The 24,911-nt window shown below is 52.2% G+C and overlaps 1 protein-coding gene across 27 annotated transcripts, besides 3 other annotated features; it reads left to right on the top strand.

The window, feature by feature from the left end:
- Positions 423-1,145: an enhancer, noted in NCBI's record as "NANOG-H3K27ac-H3K4me1 hESC enhancer chr1:1590308-1591030 (GRCh37/hg19 assembly coordinates)". NCBI's record gives its function as "activates a minimal SCP1, AML or CMV promoter by ChIP-STARR-seq in primed H9 embryonic stem cells {active_cell/tissue: H9 hESC(primed)}" and the evidence as "EXISTENCE:reporter gene assay evidence [ECO:0000049][PMID:30033119]".
- Positions 602-881: an enhancer, noted in NCBI's record as "active region_29". NCBI's record gives its function as "activates an Ori minimal core promoter by ATAC-STARR-seq in GM12878 lymphoblastoid cells {active_cell/tissue: GM12878}" and the evidence as "EXISTENCE:reporter gene assay evidence [ECO:0000049][PMID:35858748]".
- Positions 902-991: an enhancer, noted in NCBI's record as "active region_28". NCBI's record gives its function as "activates an Ori minimal core promoter by ATAC-STARR-seq in GM12878 lymphoblastoid cells {active_cell/tissue: GM12878}" and the evidence as "EXISTENCE:reporter gene assay evidence [ECO:0000049][PMID:35858748]".
- Positions 988-24,767, top strand: CDK11B (cyclin dependent kinase 11B). 27 transcript variants are annotated; one of them, NM_033489.3, is made up of 21 exons: positions 988-1,078; positions 2,494-2,617; positions 2,690-2,736; positions 4,508-4,623; positions 7,426-7,553; positions 10,355-10,493; positions 14,730-14,866; positions 17,484-17,606; positions 17,991-18,086; positions 18,172-18,330; positions 18,879-18,944; positions 19,540-19,715; positions 21,402-21,492; positions 22,109-22,230; positions 22,479-22,584; positions 22,790-22,911; positions 22,988-23,095; positions 23,194-23,310; positions 23,511-23,659; positions 23,866-24,055; positions 24,136-24,767. In NM_033489.3, exons 3-21 carry the CDS (start codon positions 2,728-2,730, stop codon positions 24,226-24,228), a joined length of 2,247 nt encoding a protein of 748 aa, NP_277024.2. In that variant the 5' UTR covers positions 988-1,078; positions 2,494-2,617; positions 2,690-2,727; the 3' UTR covers positions 24,229-24,767. The 27 variants fall into 27 exon arrangements, with proteins under 27 accessions (NP_277024.2, NP_001278274.1, XP_006711128.1 ...); NM_001291345.2 differs by lacking the exon at positions 2,690-2,736 and having other exon boundaries at positions 7,426-7,523; XM_006711065.5 differs by lacking the exon at positions 2,690-2,736 and having other exon boundaries at positions 7,426-7,523; positions 17,484-17,645.
- Positions 24,768-24,911: the final 144 nt, after the last annotated feature.

The following is a 24,911-nucleotide window of genomic DNA, read 5'->3' as shown; positions in this document are numbered from 1 at the left end:
TGCTCGTTTTATCCTCTTCTCCTGCAATGCTCTGAATCCATGGGTTTGGAGTGGGGCCCTGGGAGTTGGGGGAAGCACCATACCCAGTGAGTCTGCACTTTGAGGACCCACTGCCAGTGTCAGCTTCAAAATCACATTGTAAAAGGCCGGGCGCGGTGGCTCACGCCTGTAATCCCAGCACTTTAGGAGGACGAAGCGGGCGGATCACTTGAGGTCAGGAGTTCGAGACCAGCCTGGCCAATATGGCGAAACCTCGTCTCTACCAAAAATATAAAAATTAGCCGGGCGTGGTGGCGCGGGCCTGTGGTTCCAGCTACTCGGGAGGCTGAGGCAGGAAAATTCCTTGAACCCGGGAGGAGGCTGCAGTGAGCCAAGACCACGCCACTGCACTCCAACCTGGGCGGCAGAGCAAGGCTCCGACTCAAAAGTAAATACATGAATAAATAAAATAAAATCACATCGTAAGAGCTCTCCCTGCCCTGTTTCTGAGTAAGGTTCAGAGTTAAATTCCGAGATCGGCCTTTACAAGACACACAGACCTGAGGCGCCTCACGAGGTAACCAGCAGGTAAATGGAGCGCGCTCCACCCACCCGCCACTAGGGGTCCCAGCGGTCAAGGGGGTGGAATGCGGGCGTCCATCGCGAAGGCATTCTGCTCGCAAGCCTTGGCACAGGCGCGGGCTTCGCTACCGGAAAAGTCCCGGTAGGATTCCGGAAGCCGGCCACGCGTTCCGCGCAGGCGCAAACTGCTCCAAAAGTGGGCGTCGCTCCTCCGGAGTCCCGATTCCTGCGTCACAGCCCGCGCCGAAGTCGGAAGTGCGCTCACCGGGCTGTTTCTTCTGGCGTCCTGGACCTGAGCAAGCGCTGTTTTATGCGTTATCATCCCGCGCAGACACAGGAAGTGCCGCACAGAGCGAGCCCCTGTCGTTGTCTCGAGTTCTGGGCCGGAGGTCGGCTATTATATCATCATTACGCGCCAATACAGGAAGTGACGATACTTTTGGCGCGCGCCGGTTGCTGTTTCTTCTCTGGCTCCGGGACCGGCGGCGGCGGCGGCGGCAGCGGCGGCGGCGTAGGGGTGAGTTCCGACTGGGCGGACCAGGTGTGGGAGCGCGAGGAGAACTGCGCACCGAGGTCTTTCTTCCGAGCAGGCCTCGGAGCGGGGCGGACCCGGGCCCGGGGGCGAGCGACACCCTCGCTTCCGCGGACAGTCTCATCCCGCACGGAACTTTGGGTGGTGGAGGCGGCGGGTCCAAACGCTGTCTGGAGCCAACGTCTGCCAGGCTGAACCTCAAGTGTGCGGGACTGAACCCGAGGAAATAGCCCAGTGCCCGGGTCAGGTGGCCTTGTTCGCGAGCACATCTCGGAGCATCTCCCCGGTCTCAAGGTGCAGCTGTCCAGTGTGCTAGTGGCTTCACGTAGTCCAAGCGGTCTTTCTAGCAGATTCTGACAGTAAAAGCAGTGTTTGATGAGTGGCAGGTCCTGAGTTAAGAGCCTTTAAACGGATGATCTTTAATCCGCGATCGATACTATCACGTAGGTGTTGTTATTCTGGTTGTACGGAAGACTAAACTGAGGTGAATTACGTTACCCAAGACCATACAAGAATGACAGAAACGAGACTTGATTTCAAGCGGTCATTTTTCAGAACCCATCACTCTTTTTTGTCGCCCATGCTGCAGCGCAGTGGCTGTTCACAAGCGCACTTCAGCCTGGAACTCCTGGGCTCAATCGGTCTCCCATCTCAGCTTGCAGAGTATATGGGACTACAGGCGCTCGCCACCTTGCCTGGCTTACAACTTATCATTCTTGTTTTTTTTTCTTTTTTTTTTGAGACGGGGTCTTGCTGGAGTGCAGTGACGCGACCTCGGCTCACCGGAACCTCCGCCTTTCGGATTCAAGCGATTCTGCTGCCTCGGCCTCCCGAGTAGCTGGGATTACAGGCACCCGCCACCACGCCCAGCTAAGTTTTGTATTTTTAGTGGAGACAGGGTTTTCGCCGTGTTGGCCAGGCTGGTCTTGACCTCCTGACCTTGTGATCCACCCGCCTCAGCCTAGAGCTTACTTTTTTTTTTTTTTTTTTTTTTTTAACCAAGTCTTACTTTGTTATCTAGGCTGGAGTGCAGTGGCGCAGTCTTGGCTCATTGCAGCCTTGACCTCTCTGATTCAAGTGATCCTCCTGCCTCTAGCAGCCTCCTTCCTGTAGCTAGGAATACAGGCACGCGCCACCACACTGGGCTAACTTTTGTATTTTTTGTAGAGACGAGGTTTTGCCATGTTGCCCGGGCTGGTGTTGAACTCCGGAACTCCAGCGATCTGCTCGCCTCGGCCTCCCAAAGTGCTAGGGTTACCGTCTTGAGCCACTGCGCCGGGCACAACTTCTTATTCTTAATGAGGATTTATTCTGAATCCCTCAAAAGTGACTAGGTTCAAGTGTTCAGCACCATAGCTTGCTGTGTCCTGATGTAGGCTGAATTATTTTTCTTTTTGCAGTGTTTTAACTCAAATGGGTGATGAAAAGGACTCTTGGAAAGTGAAAACTTTAGATGAAATTCTTCAGGAAAAGAAACGAAGGAAGGAACAAGAGGAGAAAGCAGAGATAAAACGCTTAAAAAATGTAAGCCATATTTTTTAAGTAAGTGGTTTTCTTAAAGGAGATTTAATTTCTTTGCCCTCATTTTTCCATTAGAACAACGCTTCTTCGGTGAAGTTCTTTTGTACTTCCAAATGTCGCAGGTGAGCCCAAAATCTATTCTAAAAATTAACAAAAACATTCAAATATTCAGTTGACATTAAAGGCAGATTTAACACACTAAAGCTGTGTCTAGATTGAGCATACATGGAGAATAAAATACGTTGAATGTTAAGTCATTAGCAAAACTGGACTAATTTTTCTCGGTTCATTAGTATGTTCATAATACTATCTCTAAGTATTTTTAATATAGTGGGAACTTGCCTTGAAATTAATATAAATATTTTACATCTTTCTTGGTTTGCATGGTAATGTACTCAGGAAACCTTTTTAGTAATTTGGTAAGAGGCATTGGCAAAGTACCTCTTTTGCTAAGATCTTTAGCAGCATCATTTGGGATGTTAGTGAGTACAGGCATACCTTGTTGTATTGCACTTCACTTTATTATGCTTCACAGATATTGAAATTTTTCCAAATTAAAGGTTTGTAGCAACTCTGCATTGAGCATTTTTCCAATAGCATGTGCTCACTTTGTTAGCTTTTTTTTTGTTTTTGAGACGGAGTCTCGCACTGTCGCCCAGGGCCGGGTTCACGCCATTCTCCTGCCTCAGCCTCCCAAGTAGCTGGGACTACAGGGGCCCACCAACATGCCAAGCTAATTTTTTGTATTTTTTAGTAGAGATGGGGTCTCACGGTGTCAGCCAGGATGATCTTAATCTCCTGACCTCATGATCCACCCACCTCGGCCTCCCAAAGTGCTGGGATTACAACAGGCATGAGCCTCCGCGCCCGGCCTTTTTTGTTTGTTTTTGAGACAGTCTTGCTCCATTGCCCAGGCTGGAGTGCAGTGGCATGATCTCAGCTAACTGCCACCTCTGCCTCCTGTGTTCAAGCAGTTCTCCTGTCTCAGCCTCCTGAGTACCTGGGACTACAGGCACCTGCCAGCACGCTCGGCTAATTTTTATATTTTTAGTAGAGACGAGCTTTCACCTTGTTGGTCAGGCTGGTCTGGAACTCCTGACCTCAGGTGATTCACCTGCCTCACCCAGCCTCCCAAAGTGCTGGGATTACAGGCGTGAGCCACCATGCCTGACCTAAACCAAACTTTTATATGCGTTGGGAAACCAAAAAATCTGTGTGACTCACTTTATTGTGGTGTTTTGGAGCCAAACCCAAAATATCTCCAAGGGATGCCTGTACCATATGAGGTATCACAAAGTATTTGGTTTGCAAGATACGCCTTAAGATTCATTTTTGGCTCATATAAGCAACTAACATACTTGGCATAGAGTCTAATGTCCCTTGTCATATATGCTATTTTTAAATTTCTCATCTCAGGTTTCAGATTACAGAGAGTTGTAATTTTAATGTGATAAGATTTGAATTAAAGTTTGTTTGTTTGTTTGTTTGTTTTCCCTGATACGGAGTCTAACTCTGTCGCCAGGCTGGAGTGCAGTGGTGTGATCTCGGGTCACTGCAATGTCCGCCTCCCGGGTTCAAGCAGTTCCGGTCACTACGCCCAGCTAATTTTTGTATTTTTAGTAGAGATGGGGTTTCACTGTGTTGTCCAGGGTGGTCTCGAGCTCCTGACCTCGTGATCCGCCTGCCTGGGCCTCCCAAAGTGCTGGGATTACAAGCGTGAGCCACCACACCCGGCCAAAAGTTCTTTATATTTTATAACACTGGCTCATTCAGAGTATATATGAAAGTTTGTTTTGGGATGTTGCCCAGGTTTGATTATCATTAAAAATACTTTTATCTATGAAGAAAAAAAAACTTATAAAGAAAATGATTAACTTTCTCTTTGCTTCTTAGTCTGATGACCGGGATTCCAAGCGGGATTCCCTTGAGGAGGGGGAGCTGAGAGATCACCGCATGGAGATCACAATAAGGAACTCCCCGTATAGAAGAGAAGACTCTATGGAAGACAGGTGAGCGGATGTACAGATGTGCAAGACCCAGCTGTACACAGCCCTGGCCTGGCCGGTCCTTCCTAGGGTCGCTGTGACAACTGTGTGCTGTTGTAACTATTAAGGTTTACTCTTTCCTAGAGTTACTGTGACATAGCGTAACTATTGAGGTTTTTATGTCACAGTTGTGACTGACTCTCAAGTGTTGTCTGTGGCCCTCCAGACCCTTGCCCCTTCTTTCTGTAAAGAACTTTGCCATGTGTTACACTGATTAATAAAATATACTATATAGGATTTTGCACAGGCCAGGTGTGGTGGCTCACACTTGTAATCTCAGCACTTTCGGAGGCCAAGGCGGGCTGATCAGCTGAGGTCAGGAGTTCGAGACCAGTCTAGCCAACATGGTGAAACCCCGTCTTAAAAGGAAAAAAAGGCCGGGCGCGGTGGCTCACGCCTGTAATCCCAGCACTTTGGGAGGCCGAGGTGGGCGGATCACAAGGTCAGAAGATCAAGACCATCCTGGCTAACACAGTGAAACCCCGTCTCTACTAAAAATACAGAAAATTAGCCGGGCGTGGTGGCAGGCGCCTTTAGTCCCAGCTACTCGGGAGGCTGAGGCAAGAGAATGGCGTGAACCCAGGAGGTGGAGCTTGCAGTGAGACAAGATCATGTCACTGCACCCCAGCCTGGGCGACAGAGCAAGACCCCGCCTCTAAAAAAAAAAAAAGGAAAAAAAAGATTTTGCACAAATAAAGTAGAATGCTGAAAGATACCTGAGGAGGGCCGCTGATGAGAAATGTTCATATTGGCCGGACGCGGCAGCTCACGCCTGTAATCCCAGCACTTTGGGAGGCCGAGGCAGGCAGATCACTTCAGCCCAGGAGTTCAAGACCAGCCTGGGCAACACAGGGAGACCTCGTCTCTACACAAAATAAAAAAAAGAAGATGAGAAAAACTAAATGAGTTTTCCTGCCATAGCAGGTGCCCCTCATGGTCATCATCAGGGTTTTCAGGGCCTAGCTTCTAAGCACCCCTGACAGAGCCTAGAATAGAGACAAGGAAATGGATGAGACTGGGGTAACAGAGCAAGACCCTGTGTGGAAAAAAAGGAAATGTTCTTGTTGAGACCTGTGTGTTCCGACGTTTCTTCCTGTGCCATGAACTGTTTCTCGTTTGTTTTCTTCTCATATCTAGCTCGTATACGTCATCAGGTATTAGTAATTAAAGGAAACACAGCCAGAAATTACGGTATAATGGTTTTCCTGAGAAGCTTAAGGTGTGAATTTTCCCAGAATTTTGGTGATACAGAAATCAGCTGAAGATACTGTTAAATGACGCTTTGAGATTATGAAGATTGTTTTGTTGTTGTTGTTGTTGCTTTGACACAGAGTCTTACCCTGTCGCCCAGGCTGGAGTGCACTGGCATGATCTCGGCTCACTGCCACCTCCAGCTCCCGGGTTCAAGTGAGTCTCCTGCCTCAGACTCCTGAGTAGCTGGGATTACAGGCATGCGCCACCACGCTCGGGTGTGTGTGTGTGTGTGTGTGTGTGTGTGTGTGTGTGTATTTTTAGTAGAGACGGATTTCACTGTGTGGTCACACTGGTCTTGAACTCCTAACCTCAGGTGATCTACTTGCCTCAGCCTCCCAAAGTGCTGGGATTACTGGCGTGAGCCACTGCACCCAGCCAAAATTGTAGGATCTTTTAACAGATTTATTGGGGAATAAATAACATAAAATGAGCTGCCCTTGTTTAAATATGATGTGAATGGCTGGGTGCAGTAGCTCGCGCCTGTAATCCCAACACTTTGAGAGACTGAGGCAGGTGGATCACCTGAGGTCAGGAGTTCAAGATCAGCCTGGCCAACATGGTGAAAGCCCGTCTCTACTACAAATACAAAAATTAGCCTGGCATGGTAGTGTACACCTGTAGTCACAGCTACTCAGGAGGCTGAGGCAGGAGAATTGCTTGAACCTGGGAGGCAAAGGTTGCAATGAGCCAAGATTGTGCCTCTGCACTCTAGGCTGGGGGAAAGAGCGAGATTCTATCTGAAAAAAATAAAAATAAAGCTGGGTGCGGTGGCTCACACCTGTAATCCCAGCACTTTGGGAGGCCGAGGTGGGTGGATCATGATGTCACAAGTTTGAGACCAGCCTGACCAATATGGTGAAACCCCGTCTCTACTAAAAATAAAAAAATTAGCCGGGTGTGGTGGCGCATGCCTGTAATCCCAGCTACTCCTTAGGCAGAGGCAGGAGAATTGCTTGAACCTGGGACTGGAAGGGGAGGTTGCAATGAGCCGAGATCGTACCACTGCATTCCAGCCTGGGCAACAGAGCGAGACTCCGTCTCAAAAAAATAAATACAGGCCGGGCGCAGTGGCTCACGCCTGTAATCCCAGCACTTTGGGAGACCGAGGTGGGCGGATCATGAGGTCAGGAGACCAAGACCATCCTGGCTAACATGGTAAAACCCCGTCTCTACTAAAAATACAAAAATTAGCCAGCGTGGCGGCGGGCGCCTGTAGTCCCAGCTACTCGGGAGGCTGAGGCAAGAGAATGGCATGAACCCGGAGGGTGGAGATTGCAGTGAGCCGAGATCGTGCCACTATAGCCCGGGCAACAGAGCGAGACTGTCTAAAAAAAAGAAAAAAAGAAAAAAAAGATGCCTAAAGTTGGAGAATTAATGTAATTTTTTAAATGATGTTTCAGCTTTGTTCCTGTCTGAATCATGCATTTTTCTGGGTTGAAGAAACCTTATAATAGCCTGATGCTTCTTTGCACTTTCTCAAGCATGATGCAGTGCTGTTGTGTTTTATTTCAGAGGAGAAGAAGATGATTCTTTGGCCATCAAACCACCCCAGCAAATGTCTCGGAAAGAAAAAGCTCATCACAGAAAAGATGAAAAGAGAAAAGAGAAACGTAGGCATCGTAGCCATTCAGCAGAAGGGGGTACAGAAGCATTTACTTTCTTTGACATCATGTTCAAGTGTGGTTTCTTTCCTGTTCCTACTCTTCTGCCTTCCCCAGAGCACCACTGAAAAACCAGAGAAAGCAAACTCTAGCTGAAAGCATACGTGTGTCACAGACCGTTCAGAATGGCTATAGAGAGAATACTCTAGCTAAAAGCATGCGTGCGTCACAGACCGAAAACCAGAGAGAGCAAACTCTAGCTGAAAGCATGCGTGTGTCACAGACCGAAAACCAGAAAGAGCAAACTCTAGCTGAAAGCGTGCGTGTGTCACAGACCATTCAGAATGGCTATAGAGAGAATAGCTGAAAGCATGCATGTGTCACAGACCGTTCAGAAGGGCTATGAGAGCAAACTAACTAAAAGCATGCGTGTGTCACAGACCAAAAACCAGAGAGAGCAAACTCTAGCTGAAAGCACGCGTGTGTCACAGACCATTCAGAAGGGCTATACAGAGCAAACTCTAGCTAAAAGCATGTGTGTGTCACAGACTAAAAACCAGAGAGAGCAAACTCTAGCTGAAAGCATGCATGTGTCACAGACCATTCAGAAGGGCTATACAGAGCAAACTCTAGCTAAAAGCATGCGTGTGTCACAGACCAAAAACCAGAGAGAGCAAACTCTAGCTGAAAGCGTGCGTGTGTTACAGACCATTCAGAAGGGCTATAGAGAGAATACTCTATCTGAAAGCATGCGTGTGTCACAGACCATTCAGAGGGGCTATAGAGAGCAAACTCCAGCTGAAAGCATGCGTGTGTCACAGACCGTTCAGAAGGGCTATACAGAGCAAACTCTAGCTAAAAGCATGCATGTGTCCCAGACCGAAAACCAGAGAGAGCAAACTCCAGCTGAAAGCATGCGTGTGTCACAGACCATTCAGAAGGGCTATAGAGAGAGTACTCTAGCTGAAAGCGTGCATGTGTCACAGACCATTCAGAGGGGCTATAGAGTACTCTAGCTGAAAGCATGCGTGTGTCACAGACCGTTCAGAGGGGCTACAGAGAGCAAACTCCAGCTGAAAGCATGCGTGTATCACAGACCGAAAACCAGAGAGAGCAAACTCTAGCTGAAAGCGTGCGTGTGTCACAGACCATTCAGAATGGCTAGTCCATTTTTCCTCTGGGGTTTTCTCTCCCCCATTATATTGTTTGGAAGCAGTTTGTTTACATTTAAAATGACCTGAATTCAACAAGTATAGGAGAAAAACACACCCCAAAATGGGTATTTGCTCAAGTCCAAAGAATGGGTTTGGCTTGAGCAGTTTGATCTCGTACCAACATCAGGAGGTTCTTACGGGTGTTAGGAAAATTGGACCTGGAGCCCGATTGAAATGTCATGATTATAAATACACTTGATTAATTAATGTGGCTTCATTGCACAGTGGAGAAGCCCACTGATAGCAAAGCTTTGTTCTGTAGTCTTTGTGAAGAGTGATTTTTGTATTATAAAACTGATAATTATAGTTTATTCAGTATGGAAAAGTTTTAAAAGACGAATATTACAATTCTGCTCTTCTGTGATAGCAGAATTGTTTTTCTTTTTTCTTCTTTCTTCATAATTAGACGCTTACTGCAGATAGTTTTTTATTTTCAAAGTTTTTTATTTAACATAAAATCATGATTATTCGGCTGGGTGCAGTGGCCCAGGCCTGTAATCCCAGCACTTTGGAGGATCAATTGAGTCCGGGAGTTCAAGACCAGCCTGGCCAATATAGCGAGACCCTGTCTCTTTAAAAAAAAAAAAAAAAAAAAAAAAGGCCGGGCGCGGTGGCTCACAACTGTAATCCCCACACTTTGGGAGGCCGAGGCCGGCAGATCACGAGGTCAGAACATCAAGACCATCCTGGCTAACATGGTGGAACCCCGTCTCTACTAAAAAGACAAAAAATTAGCCGGGCGTGGTGGCAGGCGCCTGTAGTACCAGCTACTCGGGAGGCTGAGGCAGGAGAATGGTGTGAACACGGGAGGCGGAGCTTGCAGTGAGCCGAGATTGCGCCACTGCACTCCAGCCTGGGCGACAGAGCAAGACTCCATCTCCAAAAAAAAAAAAGAAAAAAAAGAAAAATTAGGATTACTTAACGTTAACATCATTATTTAAATATTTATTTAAATATTTACTGTTCTTGATTTAATTTCTTTTTTTTTTTTTTTTGGGACGGAGTCTTGCTTGTCACCCAGGCTGGAGTACAGTGGCGCAATCTCAGCTCACTGCAAATTCCATCTCCTGGGTTCACGCTATTCTCCCGCCTCAGCCTCCCGAGTAGCTGGGACTACAGGTGCCCGCCACCACACCCAGCTAATTTTTTGTATTTTTAGTAGAGATGGGGTTTCACCGTGTTAGCCAGGATGGTCCCGATCTGACCTTGTGATCCGCCCACCTCGGCCTCCCAGAGTGCTGGAATTACAGGCGTGAGCCACCGCGCCCGGTCTTAATTTCAGTTTCACGTGGGTTTTTTTTTTTTTTTTGCCCAGGCTGTAGTGCAGTGGCGTGATCTCGGCTCACTGCAACCTCCGCCTCCCGGGTTCAAGCAATTCTTCTGCCTCAGCCTCGCTTAGTAGCTGGGATTACAGGTGCCTGCCACCACGCCCAGCTAATTTTTGTATTTTTAGTAGAGACGGGGTTTCACCATGTTGGCCAGGATGGCCTTGAACTCCTGACCTCAGGTGATCCGCCCGCCTCAGCCTCCCAAAGTGCTAGGATTACAGGCATAAGCCTCCGTGCCCGGCTTCATGTGAAATTTTTGAAGTGAGGTTTCTTTGCATGACACTTTATTTCTCATTAGGGAAGCATGCTAGAGTGAAAGAAAAAGAAAGAGAGCACGAACGTCGGAAACGGCATCGAGAAGAACAGGATAAAGCTCGCCGGGAATGGGAAAGACAGAAGAGAAGGGAGATGGCAAGGGAGCATTCCAGGAGAGAAAGGTGAGTCGGCTGGGTCAGTTGAGGACTTTATAAAAGGGCTGTGGTAGTGTGTCCCATCCTAGAAATGAAGAAGAATTTGGCAATAGAAGTCACATCTGAGCCAGGTGTGGTGGCTCACGCCTGTAATCCCAGCACTTTGGGAGGCCGAGGTGGGCGGATCATGAGGTGAGGAGATGGAGACCATCCTGGCTGACATGGTGAAACCCCGTCTCTACTAAAAAAATACAAAAAATTAGCTGGGCATGGTGGCGGGCACCTGTAGTCCCAGCTACTTGGGAGGCTGAGGCAGGAGAATGGCGTGAACCCGGAAGGTGGAGCTTGCATTGAGCTGAGATCCCGCCACTGCACTCCAGCCTGGGCGACAGAGCGAGACTCCGTCTCAAAAAAAAAAGAAGAAGTCACATTTGGTGCAGAAGTGGTAGACATGGAAACAGCACAGTGAACGCTGGACGAGGCTGACCAAGAGAACTGTCCTGAGGGAGTGAGTTTTCACTGCATCTGGAAGTAAGAACGGGTGTGATTTGATTGAGGGAAGACAATGAAGGGATCAGAAATCTGCATGTCCGGCCGGGCGCGGTGGCTCATGCCTGTAATCCTAGCACTTTAGGAGGCTGAGGTGGTTGGATCCCTTGAGCCTGGAGGTCAAGGCTGCAGTAAGCTATGACCATGCTATTGCACTCCAGCCTGGTTGACAGAGTGAGACTGTCTCAAAAAAAGGAGAAGGGAGATCCTAAAAACCTTGAAACAGTCTGGAATTCGGGACCCTGGACTCCCAGGACTCCTGGCCATTAGTTTATATATTCGTTCCCCTTTATGAGCCAGATTCCCAAGAAAGAACATCGGTGTAGCCCCAGATCTGTTCCGTGAACCAGGAAAAAGGCTGTAGGCCAGGTGGGAGCAGGCCCATCTCCGCCTTCAGAGTGAGTCCACAGAAAGCTTGCAAGCTGCTCCAGGAAGAGAGGAGTCTGAAGCGGAAGGGCAGCGATGTTTGCCAGCAGCCAGGGCTGGGTACACAGCATGTAAAGATGATGAGAGGGCGCTGGTTCTTGTTGATGCCGAAGGGTGTGGGAGACACTGAGGCCCAGGGGTCAAGGTCCGAGACCGCTGCGGGGTGAGCAAGGTTTCAGTTGGCCTAGTTCCTGTTAGTGTGTGAAACATTCATGTATGCCACACCCTGTGCCAGACATTGAGTGTGTCTTGTCCCACGAGAGTACAGCTTGGGATAGAAGTGGAGGTTGGTAGATGAAATTTGGGCTGTCATATTGATTTCCCAGAAGGTAAAGACAGGAGAGTGAATGAGCAAAAATTGTTGGGGGCAGACTTCTGGGTAGGGCCGATTCAGATCAGCCAATCCAGAACTGGGTATGGTAGCATATGCTACGTGGGAGGCTAAGGCCAGAGGACCGCATGACGCCAGCCTGGGCAACGTAGGGAGACCTTGTCTCTGACAAAAAGGAAACTGATAAGGATAATCTGAGAAGCACTGATGCTTGGAAAACTGCTGAGCTGTGGGTGAAAGCAGTAAGAATCTGACCTTCTGGCCTGAGAGCTGCTCCCTTTACTGCTTCCACTCTGCACTTGGGAAGCACGGAGGTTCCACTGGGACAGGGCAGCTGCAGGACCTGCAGTTTCCTTGCTGCCTTGGAAGGGGTTACTCCGTTTAGAGCAGTGGGCAGTGGCCTTGCCCACCAGCATCCTCAGTGGAGGGAGGAAGAAAAGGCCAAGAGGTCTGCTAGAATGAAGTACAGTGTGGTTGGGAGCAGCTGTGATCTCGCCAAAGACGTGCAGCAGAGACTGGAGAGAGCTCGAGCCGCCACCCACTTGTGACCAGCCCTGAGGATGCAGCTGCGTGAAAGGACCTGGCAGAAAATAGAAGCCGCCACAGATGCGAATGACGCGTGAACGTTCAGTGTGCTCCCTGTCCACACACAGCCGTGGGCCAAGGAAGCCTTACTGTGCTCGAGGTATTTGAGCCCAGCCTTTTTCCAGTGCTGGCTAATTGCTAAGCTGTGCAGCCATGGTGGTGACCCCTAGGAAGCCAAGGTTGAAAATTAAAATAGGCATGTGGGAAGGAACGGGGTGGCCACGAGCTGTGAGGGAGATGGATTTCACGGACAACCAGACAGGCCTCGGTGGTAACAACGAAAGGGAAAACTTAGAATCCAGAATTGCTACAAATGTATTATCTAAAATACAAAGAAGTATGACAGTGTGACCCATACTGAGGAAGAACATCATCAGTAAAAACTGTCTGAGTGTCCAGATGTTGAATTTAGTAAAGGCTTGGAAACAACTTGTGGATGGAGCAGTAGAAATTATCCATTCTGAAGAACAGAGAGAAAAAAACAAGAAAAATGCACAGAGCCTCAGAAACCCGTGGTACAACATCTGCTGTACCAAAGCACGTCGAATGGGGGTTCCAGGAGAGAGGAAAGATATTTGTTACAATAATGGTTAAAAACTTTCCAAATTTTAATTAAAAAATATGCACATTCAAGAGCACAGGAAGTTTGAACTAGAATAAATGCAAAGTCACATCATAGTCAAACTGGCAAAGGCCAAAGAGAAAATGTTGAAAGGCCTCAGAGAAGAATGACCCATCCCATGAAAGGGGAGCTTCAATACCGCCAGCCACTGACTTCTTAGAAACAATGGAGGCCAGAAGGCAGTGGAGTGGCATACTCAAGCTGCTCAGAGAGAAGAACCATCAGCCAGGAATCAAAACCGTTCTACACAAGTGAAAGGGAACGAACGACATTCCCTGAGAAGCAGAGACTGGTGGGATTCATTGTTGGCGAAACCTGCCTTAAAGGAAATACTAAAGGAAGACCTTCAAGTTGAATAGAAATGACACCAGACGGTAACTTGAATCCTCAGGAAGGAAGGACAGGCACTGCAGATAGCAAGTGTAGGTTGACGTCAATATCCTGTAACTATCTCTCCTCACATCTTAGGTTTTACTGGAACTACGATTGTATAAAATAATTACACTGTTGTCATGGTATGTGGCATAAATGGACTGCACAAAGAAGACAGGGAATAAAGCTGTGTTACAACAGTTTTATATTGTACTGGACTTGAGCTAGTATCATGAGGCATACGGTGATCCCTAGAGCAACCACTAAGAAAGTTGTTTTCTTAGTGTTTTAAAAAGTACAAATAAATTAAAATGGTATGCTAAACATATGTAATTTAAAATCAAAAAGGGAAGAATAAAAAAGACACAACAAAGCAAGGAAAGTAAATCCAACTGTACGTGTAATTATATGACATGTGAAAGGTCTCTGTGCCCCAAACAGACAGGGCAGATTATCAGATAGAAAAACAAGATCTAACTGTATGCTGTCTGCTAGAGAACAGGAAAAGACGCAGCGTACAAACATCAGCTGTCATAGGAGAGCTTGAATGGCTGTACTCATACCAGACAAAACAGATGTTAAGAAATATTAGAAACCAGCCTGGCCAACATGGTGAAACCCTGTCTCTACAAAAATCACCTGGGTGTGGTGGCGCACACCTGTAATCCCAGCTACTCGGGAGGCTCAGGTATGAGAATCACTTGAACTCGTGAGATGGAGGTTGCAGTGAGCCGAGATTGCGCCACTGCACTCCAGCCTGGGTGACAAACCAAGACCCTGTCTCAAAAAAAAGCTAGAAACAAGAAGGAGCAAGGACTTCACAGCCAGAAACAGGCCAATACAGCAGGAAGATACAGCAATGATACGTGTGAATGCATCTAACCACAGAGCCCAAAATCCATGAAGCAAACACCGATCGAATGGAAAGAAATGGATCATTTATTAATTAGAATTGGAAATGGCAGCTGGGCACGGTGGCTCGGGCCTGTAAACCCAGCACTTTGAAAAGCGGAGGCAGGCGGATCACGAGGTCAGGAGATTGAGACCATCCTGGCTAACATGGTGAAACCCTCGTCTCTACTAAAAATACAAAAATTAGCTGGGAGTACAGGGCGCACGCCTGTAATCCCAGCTACTCGGGAGGCTGAGGCAGGAGAATCGCTCGAACCCGGGAGGCGGAGGTTGCAGTGAGCCGAGATCGCGCCACCGCACTCCAGCCTGGGGGACAGATGAAGACTCCGTCTCAAAGAAAATAAAATAAAAAAATGAAAAAAAAACTTCACGGATTGAATTACGTAGAAAGCCAGTTTACAAATGTGGACAAAAACGCGATAAGCAAGCTTCTGTTTAGGGGGAATGATGGCGTGTGCCTCTTCAGGGACCGCTTGGAGCAGTTAGAAAGGAAGCGGGAGCGGGAGCGCAAGATGCGGGAGCAGCAGAAGGAGCAGCGGGAGCAGAAGGAGCGCGAGCGGCGGGCAGAGGAGCGGCGCAAGGAGCGGGAGGCCCGCAGGGAAGGTAGGCGGCGCGGTGGGCAGCTGTGCTCGGCGGGACGCGTGTCTGCTGCCCCCTGGTGCTGGGCACTTGCTGTCACAGGCGGGCGCTTGGTTCCGGTGCTTGCTTTTCGCCCCTGCCTTTTTTTTTTTTTTGGAGGCAGAGTTTTGCTCTTGTCCCCCAGGCTGGAGTGCGGTGGCGCGATCTCGGCTCACTGCACCCTCTGCCTCCCGGGTTCAAGTGATCCTCCTGCCTCAGCCTCCGGAGTAGCAGGGATTACAGGCACCCGCCACCATGTTCAGCTATTTTTTTATATTTTTAGTAGAGACAGGGTTTCACCGTGTTAGCCAGAATAGTCTCTTGATCTCTTGGCCTCGTGATCCACCCACCTCGGCCTCCCAAAGTGCTGCGATTACAGGCGTGAGCCACCGCGGCCGGCCAGTACGAGCTTTTATAGTCACCCACGTCCTCACCTTAATGGAGATCTTTATTTCTTCACCCAGCTTCCGGTTTCTGTCTCGCGTCCTTTCCTTACACCCCACACAACTCCCTGGAGCTTATTCTTCAAGGCAGGTCTAGGTCTAGTAGTAATGAACTCCCTCTGCTTTTGTTTATCTGAGAATATCCTCATTTCTCCCTCATCTTTGAAGGAAAGTTTGCTGGATACGTGGTTCTTGGTTGACAATTTTGTTGTTGTTGTTTTGAGACAGAGTCTTCTTCTGTTGCCCAGGCTGGAGTGCAGTGGAGCGATCATAGCTCACTGCAACCTCGAACTCCTGGGCACAAGTGATCTTCCCACCTCAGCCTCCCGCGTAGCTGGGACCTACAGGCGTAGCGTGTGCCACCACACCTGGCTCATTTTTCAGTAGAAACAAGGTGTCCCTGTATTGCCCAGGCTGGTCTTGAATTCCTGGGCTCAAGGAACCCTCATGCCTAGCTGACAGTTTTTCCTTTTCACTTGGACTATTTCAGCCCATTGTCTTCTGGCCTCCAAAGTTTCTGATGAGAAATCTGATGATCTTATAGAGGATCCCTTGGATGCTTTAATCTGATGACCTGATTGAGGATCCCTTGGATGCTTTGAAGATTCTCTTTGCCTTAGGCTTTCAACTGTTTAATAATGGGTTTTCCTGTGGGCCTCTTGACTTCATTCTACCTGGAGTTCACTGAGCCTCTCTAATGTTTATATTTACGGTTTTCATCCAATGTGGGGGTTTTGAGGAATTCTTCAGATACCCTCTCTGCTCCTCTCCTCCCTCCTGGGCTCCCACAGATCTGTTGGGGTCCCCGAGGCCGCTCAGCACTGCTCCCTTTTCTTCAGTCTCTTCTGCTTTCTTTTCCTCAGACGATGTGATTTTATTGTCTTCAGGCTCACCGATTATTTCTTCTGCCTGCTCACATCTGCCTGTGAGTTTCTGTTGTGAATATTTACTTTTTAGTGTCTATTGTGAGCATGTACTTATTAGCTCTGGAATTTCTCTCTGGTTTCTTGTTGGATCTTCTGTCTCTGTTGATATTTCCGTCGTGTTCACGCGTCATTTTCTTGACTTTCTCCACATCTTCCTTTCGTTCTCTGAGGAACTGAAGGTTAAGACAGTTCCCTAAAGTCTTTGGGACATCTACCGTCAGGTGATTTTCAGGAACCGTGTCTGTTGGCTTCTTTTTTTCCCCTCTGAATGGGACATACTGTCCTATTTCTTTGTTTCTCTTGTGTTTTTCTTAGTCAAAAAAATGGACATTTGATTCTCATGATGTGATTCTTCCTGGTCCCCACTCAAGGGTGTGCACTTGTTGTTTTGGTTGTGCTGGGCTGTGTCTGTGGGGTCGGCCTGTTGTGGAAACTCAGGGTCTTCACGGGTCTTTTCTGAGCCTGAGCCTTTTCCTGGTCACGTGCAGCCACTTTTTAACGTTCCCGTCAATACAGATGTTTTTAATGTTCTTGTCCTGAAGTGTCTGCCTCCTAAAGGGGGAATAGAGAGAAATGAAGGGGGCAACGGGGGACGTGGTGCTCATGCCCTGGAAGTACCTTCAGCTTGGGGGTGGCCGTGGCTGCTGCCTCTTCATGCCTCTGGGGTGGGACACGCAGTCATCACACTGACCTCGGGTGTGTGTGTCCGTCTGCCCACCTGGGTCCGGCGAGCTGCATGCAGGCTGCTGCCTGCCAGCGGGGAGTGAGGTGGGAGCCACTAATGTGCGAAGCGGTGACGTTGATTAATGAATCACAGTTTACTCTCCAAGATTCCCCCTGAAGTTGCAAACCTTCAGTAGACTCCAGAGCACCTCAGTAGTTGCACAGGCCTGATCCTGTGATGCAAGTGTTGTCTCGGTGGGGAGACTGATTCCCAGTGCTTCCTACTCCATCTTTCCAGAATCTTCTCCCGCCCCTTCCTTTTTGACCAGTGAAGATCAGTCTAGAAGGTCCACCTGGGTCCTCGGGCTCACGGCCTCCAGGTTGGAGCTTTTTCTCCCTGGGCTTCCTGGGAGACCTCTGGCCTCTGACCCCGATGCTGTCAGCACCCTGTGCACGCTGTGGGTGTGTCTGCCAGGTGCGGGTGTGGGAGACGAGGCAGCTGTGCCGGGTGGGGCCTTTTGAGGAAGGCAGTGCTGCTAGTGCCATCTCCCTCTCTGCCCTGCGCGCCAGTGTCTGCACATCACCGAACGATGAGAGAGGACTACAGCGACAAAGTGAAAGCCAGCCACTGGAGTCGCAGCCCGCCTCGGCCGCCGCGGGAGCGGTTCGAGTTGGGAGACGGCCGGAAGCCAGGTGAGGCCAGGCCGGCGCCTGCGCAGAAGCCAGCACAGTGTGAGTCTTTTCTGGGGGATGTTTGGCATAAGTGTGTAGGATTCATTTAAAGCCCAGCTAAGTAACCGCTTCAGAAGAAAGTGAGAGATGTGCTGGCTGAAGTCCTCTCGTGTCGTGAGAGGGACCGTGAGTGTCTGTGTGCGGCCAGGACACAGGACGTGTGTTTATCCGCTGGGACATTCGCCACTGGCCCCGTTAGAGAAGTGGCTTCCAGCGTCTCTGGATGAGCTGGTTTCCGACCAAGCAAAGTTAATCGTTACGTGAAAGGCACTAGTTTTGGGGTGGTGGTAGCTTGTTTGTTTAAAAACATTTCCCCAAATTCACCTTTATGGTTTATCTCATAAGTAAAAGAAGAGAAAATGGAAGAAAGGGACCTGCTGTCCGACTTACAGGACATCAGCGACAGCGAGAGGAAGACCAGCTCGGCCGAGTCCTCGTCAGGTACCTGGAACCGCCTGGCCAAGGCCTTGACCACTGCTGCCCAGGAAGGCCCAGGTTCACCCTCTGCTCTGCTGTCTTTCTACAGCGGAATCAGGCTCAGGTTCTGAGGAAGAAGAGGAGGAGGAGGAAGAGGAGGAGGAGGAAGGGAGCACCAGTGAAGAATCAGAGGAGGAGGAGGAGGAAGAGGAAGAGGAGGAGGAGGAGACCGGCAGCAACTCTGAGGAGGCATCAGAGCAGTCTGCCGGTGAGGCACCGCGACGACTATGTGAGGTGTTGTGACTTCACTATAGTGTTAGAAACCGCAGAGAAGTAGCTGGCGGGCGGGGGAGTTGAAACTCCCTTCTATCTAGGACTCTCTCGGGACACCTCCACATCGATTCTTTTTGTTTGTTTTTTTGAGATGGAATCTTGATCTGTTGCCCAGGCTGGAGTGCAGTGGCATGATCTCGGCTCACTGCAACCTCTGCCTCCCGGGTTCAAGTGATCCTCCCGCCTCAGCCTCCCAAGTAGCTGGGAGTACAGGTGTGCGCCAGCACGCCCGGATAATTTTTTTATTTTTAGTCGAGACGGGGTTTCACCACGTTGGCCAGGATGGTCTCGAACTCCTGACCTCAGGTGATCCACCCGCCTTGGCCTCCCAAAGCGCTGGGATTACAGGCGTGAGCCACCGCGCCCGGCCTGCATATCCATTCTTGGGAACACTTGTTGCTTAGCTGAAGCGGAGCCCGCATCCTGCCTGTGGCAGCACTCGCCCCGGTGCTGGTCTGAGCAGACGCCTCCTTTCTCTTGCAGAAGAAGTAAGTGAGGAAGAAATGAGTGAAGATGAAGAACGAGAAAATGAAAACCACCTCTTGGTTGGTAAGAACCTCCCTGGAGACAGAGCCCCCTCCTTGTCTGTCTCCGAGTGCAGCAGCCCTCTCCTAAGACAGCCGGTCCTGCGCAGCGTGGGGCACGCCAGGGTCTGGGAGGCCGCCTGATTCGTTGGCCGCTCCAGGCTGTGCCGGTGGGGCCCGCATTCCTCAGCGAGGCACAGTGCTGACCAAGGGCGTCCTGAGTGCCCAGCAGGGCCGAGGAGCTGGGAAGCCCAGGACCAGTTCCCCACAGGGGAGGCCCGTCAGATGGTGGCTCCGGGCCTGTCCCTGCAGAGCAGAGGCCTGGCCCAGCCTCCGACAGGCAGTGAGGTTATGTCCTCAGCCTGGTGGACGTGGATGTGGGCTTGTCCCCCACATGACACCCGACGCCTCCTCCCAGCTCAGCATCCGGGCTCTGTCTCAGCCGAGCCTGCCAGCACTCTTAGGCCTCGGTGCCCTGTGTCCAGGGGACGAGAGCCCAGCGCCAGCACCTCCCAGCGGGACACGGGGCAGCCCTGCCACGCGCTTGATGCCCCCGGGGCAGGAGGAGGTTCATGATCCTTGCTTACTCCTAGCTTCGTAATTAGGTTCAACTTTTCCAGTTCCAGAGTCACGGTTCGACCGAGATTCCGGGGAGAGTGAAGAAGCAGAGGAAGAAGTGGGTGAGGGAACGCCGCAGAGCAGCGCCCTGACAGAGGGCGACTATGTGCCCGACTCCCCTGCCCTGTCGCCCATCGAGCTCAAGCAGGAGCTGCCCAAGTACCTGCCGGCCCTGCAGGTCAGGCCCTCCCCTCGCCCCGGGCCACTGTCCGCATTGGCAGTCGGAGTTACCACAGGGGCTGAGCGAAGCCTGGCCCCCGTGTTGGCGTCTGTCGCCTCACAGGGCTGCTGGGCCCACTGGGGCAGTGACGGGCGGGCACAGCCACTGGCCCCTCATGCTTCTAGGTCCCGCCTCTTTCTCATGCTGGACGGAACTGGGTGGACAGGGAGCTGCCCGCAGGACTGCTCTGCGGCTTGAAAGGCAGCCTGGGCGTGCGGCCGCGCTGCTGTCACTGCTGCCCGAGTTGCGTCCTCCTCCGCACTGGAGAGCAGTGCCTTCCACTTGACCCCTGCGTGGGCGGGTTATGTAGGCACCAAGGCCTTGTTACCGGCATCTGTGCAGGGCTTGGATGGGGGAGCGGCTACGGGAGTCAGTGTAGATGTGTGACCAGAAGCCTTTTGCTTAGGCAGCTATCAATAAGGCAGGATATTGTTGGGAGCGATTTGGAAGGGACAAGCCTGAGAAGGTGCCAGTGGCCTCTGGGGCCTGGGAGACCGGCAGGGACTCGGCCCCCTCCTTGGTGCCTGTGGGCGGAGAGGTTCTCTCTGGCGCATGCAGCAGGCCTCTGTCGACTGCCCTATGCCTTGTGAGCGCCTCTGCCCCTTAGTGCTGCTGAGCGTAGGCGTCGGGCCACAGGCCACCCCGAGTACATGACATCCGGCCTGGGCACCGGCCCCAAGGTACACGGAGGGGTAGGTGCCCTGGCATGGGGCATCATGCTGCGCCTGGCAGGTAGGGCCCGTCCTCAGTGTCATCCTGGTACAAGCAGGGGACACATCCAGTTTGACAAAGAGACTCTTGGGATGGCTTTTTTTTTGGAGACTGGGTCTGTCTCTGTCACCCAGGCCGGAGTGGAGTGGCTTAATCATAGCTCACTGGAGCCTCCCCCTCCCAGGCTCAAACAATCCTCCCATTTCAGCCTCCTGAGTAGCTGGAACTACAGGCGCAAGCCACCATGCCTGGCTAATTTTTTTATTTTGTAGAAAGGAGTTTTGACCGGGCACAGTGGCTCACACCTGTAATCCCAGCACTTTTGGAGGCCGAGGCGGTGGGCGGATCAGAGGTCAGGAGTTCGAGACCAGCCTGGCCAATATGGTGAAATCCTGTCTCTACTAAAAATACAAAAATTAGCCTGGCGTGGTGGTGCGTACCTATACTCCCAGCTACTAGGGAGGCTGAGGCAGGAGAATCGCCTGAACCCAGGAGGTGGAGGTTGCAGTGAGCCGAGATCTCACCATTGCACTCCAGCCTGGGTGACAGAGCGAGACTCCGTCTCAAAAAAAAAAAAAAAAAAAAATAGAAAACAGAGTGTTGCTATGTTGGCCGGGCTGGTCTTGAACTCCTGGGCTCAAGCAGTCCTCCTGCCTTGCCCTCCCAAAGTGCTGGAATTACAGGCCTGAGCCCTTGCACCTGGCTGGGATGGCCTTTTGTTCACACTGGTTTTGTTTCATAATAAAGTGTCAGATGGTTTTGCAAGGAAAGAGACTTTGAAAGAACTGAGCTGCTCCCGGCTCCACCCCCGGCCCAGTCCCAAGGCTCTGCCCTGCACCTGCCCCGTGCCGGGTGTGCCGTGCCTGTGGACGCAGCCGCCCTCCCTCCAGCTGGCATGGCCACTGAGACCTCACACAGGCGCTTCCTTCCCAGGGCTGCCGGAGCGTCGAGGAGTTCCAGTGCCTGAACAGGATCGAGGAGGGCACCTATGGAGTGGTCTACAGAGCAAAAGACAAGAAAACAGGTGGGTGGGGTCCCCTCACCCCACAAAGGCAGGGGAAGTGGGGCAGGGGCTGGCTGCCCGAGAGCTGCGACTGCACCTGGGCCCGCCTCACCTGAGCAGCTACTGGAGGTTGGACCCCTCAGCACCTCTAGAAGCCAGAGGTCAGCCTGGCCCTGGGGCTTTGCCACTCCCTTGCAGTAGCAGGCGGCCTGCCCCACAGGGCCGAGGCCCAGCGCGTGGAGTGGTCTGTGCCGGGGCTGGTGTGCAGGTTTGCGTTCCCAGCGTCCCACCCAAGCAGGTGTGTGAGCCGGGAACTCTGTTGGGAGTCGGCCACTGGGATCCCAGGTGAGGCCGGCTCTGTTGGGGAAGTCGATGTGGAGTCGGCGTGGCCGCTGGGATCCCAGGTGGCTGTAGGTGGCTGTGAGTGTCTGTGGTGTGTTGAGTGGGAAGCCGTGGGTGTTGCCCAGACCTCAGCTGGGGCGTTCTCCTGGTGCCCACGTGCCCCCACCTAGAACGAGACCCCCCTCCGTGAAATGCTGGCGCTTTGGGCACTGCCTGCGGTCCTCACTGAACGAGTCCACTGTTGGTACCGTGACTTTGAGAATGCCTCTCAGTGCCGTCTGTATTTTCTTCACAGATGAAATTGTGGCTCTAAAGCGGCTGAAGATGGAGAAGGAGAAGGAGGGCTTCCCGATCACGTCGCTGAGGGAGATCAACACCATCCTCAAGGCCCAGCATCCCAACATCGTCACCGTTAGAGTGAGCATGGCCCCACCACGCCTGGCCCCGGGTGGAAGGCTTTTCTGACAGGGCCCCGTGCTGTCCTGGGGCCGGGTGCTTCCTACACTCTCCTGCACTTAGTGGAGCCCTTCACAGACCACACAGAAGCAAGCATTTGCCTCCCGGGTGGCACCGGAGGTCCTTACTGTCCCTCAGCAGCTGCACCCGGGTGCAGGGGTGGGTGGGGGCCTGGAGGTGCCCAGCACCCACAGAGCCGTGCCCTGCAGGAGATTGTGGTGGGCAGCAACATGGACAAGATCTACATCGTGATGAACTATGTGGAGCACGACCTCAAGAGCCTGATGGAGACCATGAAACAGCCCTTCCTGCCAGGTACAGCCGCGCCCCAGGGGCCTGTCTGCGTACAAGTGGGGGCAGGGTCCTGGTCACCCCCGCGGTGACAGTGCTGCAGGGAGGGCCAGCTGCATCCACAGGGAAAGCCCTGAGAAGCCTCTGTTGCTGCCGAGGCGAGTGGGCCACCCTGAGTGCCCTGGGCTGGGGGCAGCCAGGTCCACATGGGAGCTTCCCTCCCTCCCAGGGGAGGTGAAGACCCTGATGATCCAGCTGCTGCGTGGGGTGAAACACCTGCACGACAACTGGATCCTGCACCGTGACCTCAAGACGTCCAACCTGCTGCTGAGCCACGCCGGCATCCTCAAGGTGAGCCCCCCTCCGAGTGGCCCATCCCAGGGAGACCTGCCGGGGCCCACTCACAGCCGCCCATCTGTCGTTGCAGGTGGGTGACTTCGGGCTGGCGCGGGAGTACGGATCCCCTCTGAAGGCCTACACCCCGGTCGTGGTGACCCTGTGGTACCGCGCCCCAGAGCTGCTGCTTGGTGCCAAGGTGAGTCCTGGGCGTCTGAGTGCCTCCCCTGTCCCCCACGCAGCCTCCCACAGCTTCGCGGGCACTGGCCCTCCTGAACACCTCTCCTGACCTCTTAGGAATACTCCACGGCCGTGGACATGTGGTCAGTGGGTTGCATCTTCGGGGAGCTGCTGACTCAGAAGCCTCTGTTCCCCGGGAAGTCAGAAATCGATCAGATCAACAAGGTGTTCAAGGTGGGTCTGGCCCTGCTGCAGGTGCGCTGTGGGGTTGTGGAGGAGTTGCAGGAATGGGGCTGCGGGGCGCACAGGTGCTGGGTTGAGATGGGGACCAGGGCCACTGAGAGCCCTCCTGGTGGCTTGTCTTCTCTGACGGGACACAGGTGCCAACACTGTGGGCCACTTGGTGTGGCTGTTGAAGCACCTCTGTCTTTCAGGATCTGGGGACCCCTAGTGAGAAAATCTGGCCCGGCTACAGCGAGCTCCCAGCAGTCAAGAAGATGACCTTCAGCGAGCACCCCTACAACAACCTCCGCAAGCGCTTCGGGGCTCTGCTCTCAGACCAGGGCTTCGACCTCATGAACAAGTGAGCCCAGTGCAGCCGGGTGGCGGGAGGTCCCGAGCCATAGCGGTGACTTCCCAGTCCCAGGCCTACCTGCTGGCTCACCACGTTCCAGAACTGCTCTGGTGCCTGGCGTCCCATGCCCTGAGCCCCGTCCCAACACAGCCCATCTTTGGGGGACCCAGTGGAGCACACGAGCACCTCCTGGGCCTCTGGCCCTCTCCCCCCAGGTTCCTGACCTACTTCCCCGGGAGGAGGATCAGCGCTGAGGACGGCCTCAAGCATGAGTATTTCCGCGAGACCCCCCTCCCCATCGACCCCTCCATGTTCCCCACGTGGCCCGCCAAGAGCGAGCAGCAGCGTGTGAAGCGGGGCACCAGCCCGAGGCCCCCTGAGGGAGGCCTGGGCTACAGCCAGCTGGTGAGGGGCCTGGCGGGTGGGGCGTGCCCACAGGTGGGGCTGGCTTGGGCAGGGTTCTCACGGTAGCCGACTCGTCCCAGGGTGACGACGACCTGAAGGAGACGGGCTTCCACCTTACCACCACGAACCAGGGGGCCTCTGCCGCGGGCCCCGGCTTCAGCCTCAAGTTCTGAAGGTCAGAGTGGACCCCGTCATGGGGAGAACTCAGCCGGGACCACAGGCGTGGCTACTGCGGCTGGAGCTGCGATGAGACTCGGAACTCCTCGTCTTACTTTGTGCTCCATGTTTTGTTTTTGTATTTTGGTTTGTAAATTTGTAGAATTAAATCATTTTCCTTGTTGTGGAGGAAAGAGCTGTGTTTTCTCCGTGACTTGCCCAGGGCGGAGAGGGTGGACATCTTCGGGTGCCCACGTGGGGCAGCACAAACCTCCACACACCCTCTCCCACTCTCGACACGCACGGGGCTGGCTGGGCCGTGATTTGGAAAGGAACTGGTGGGAGCCGGGTGGATTGTTTAATCTTCGGAGCTGGAGACCTGTTTCTGTGTTGGGATGAGCGATGCCCTCTTGCCCCAACCCACTCGTCCAGACCAGCCCTGTCCACACAGGCCCCCGGCCCCCAACCCCCAGCCCCAGCTGTGCCAGCAGACTCGACAGGTTTTTATACAAGGTTGTTGAGTTTTAAAATGTATTAAAATATTCTTCGAGGAAAGCTCCCCGTGTCGTCCTTTGAGTGACCCGGGACCATGTGTGGGAGGGGAGTCGCAGACCACCGGGCTCTAGGGGAAGAGGGTGGGGTGGGCGGCTGTGGCCTCTGACCCCATGTGGGCCAGTGTCTTCCCCAGGCAGGAGGGGAG

This window comes from Homo sapiens, chromosome 1 (genome assembly GCF_000001405.40).
Source record: "Homo sapiens chromosome 1, GRCh38.p14 Primary Assembly".
NCBI lineage: Eukaryota > Metazoa > Chordata > Mammalia > Primates > Hominidae > Homo > Homo sapiens.
Note: the sequence above shows the minus strand (reverse complement) of the source record. Positions and strands in the feature narration are given on the sequence as shown.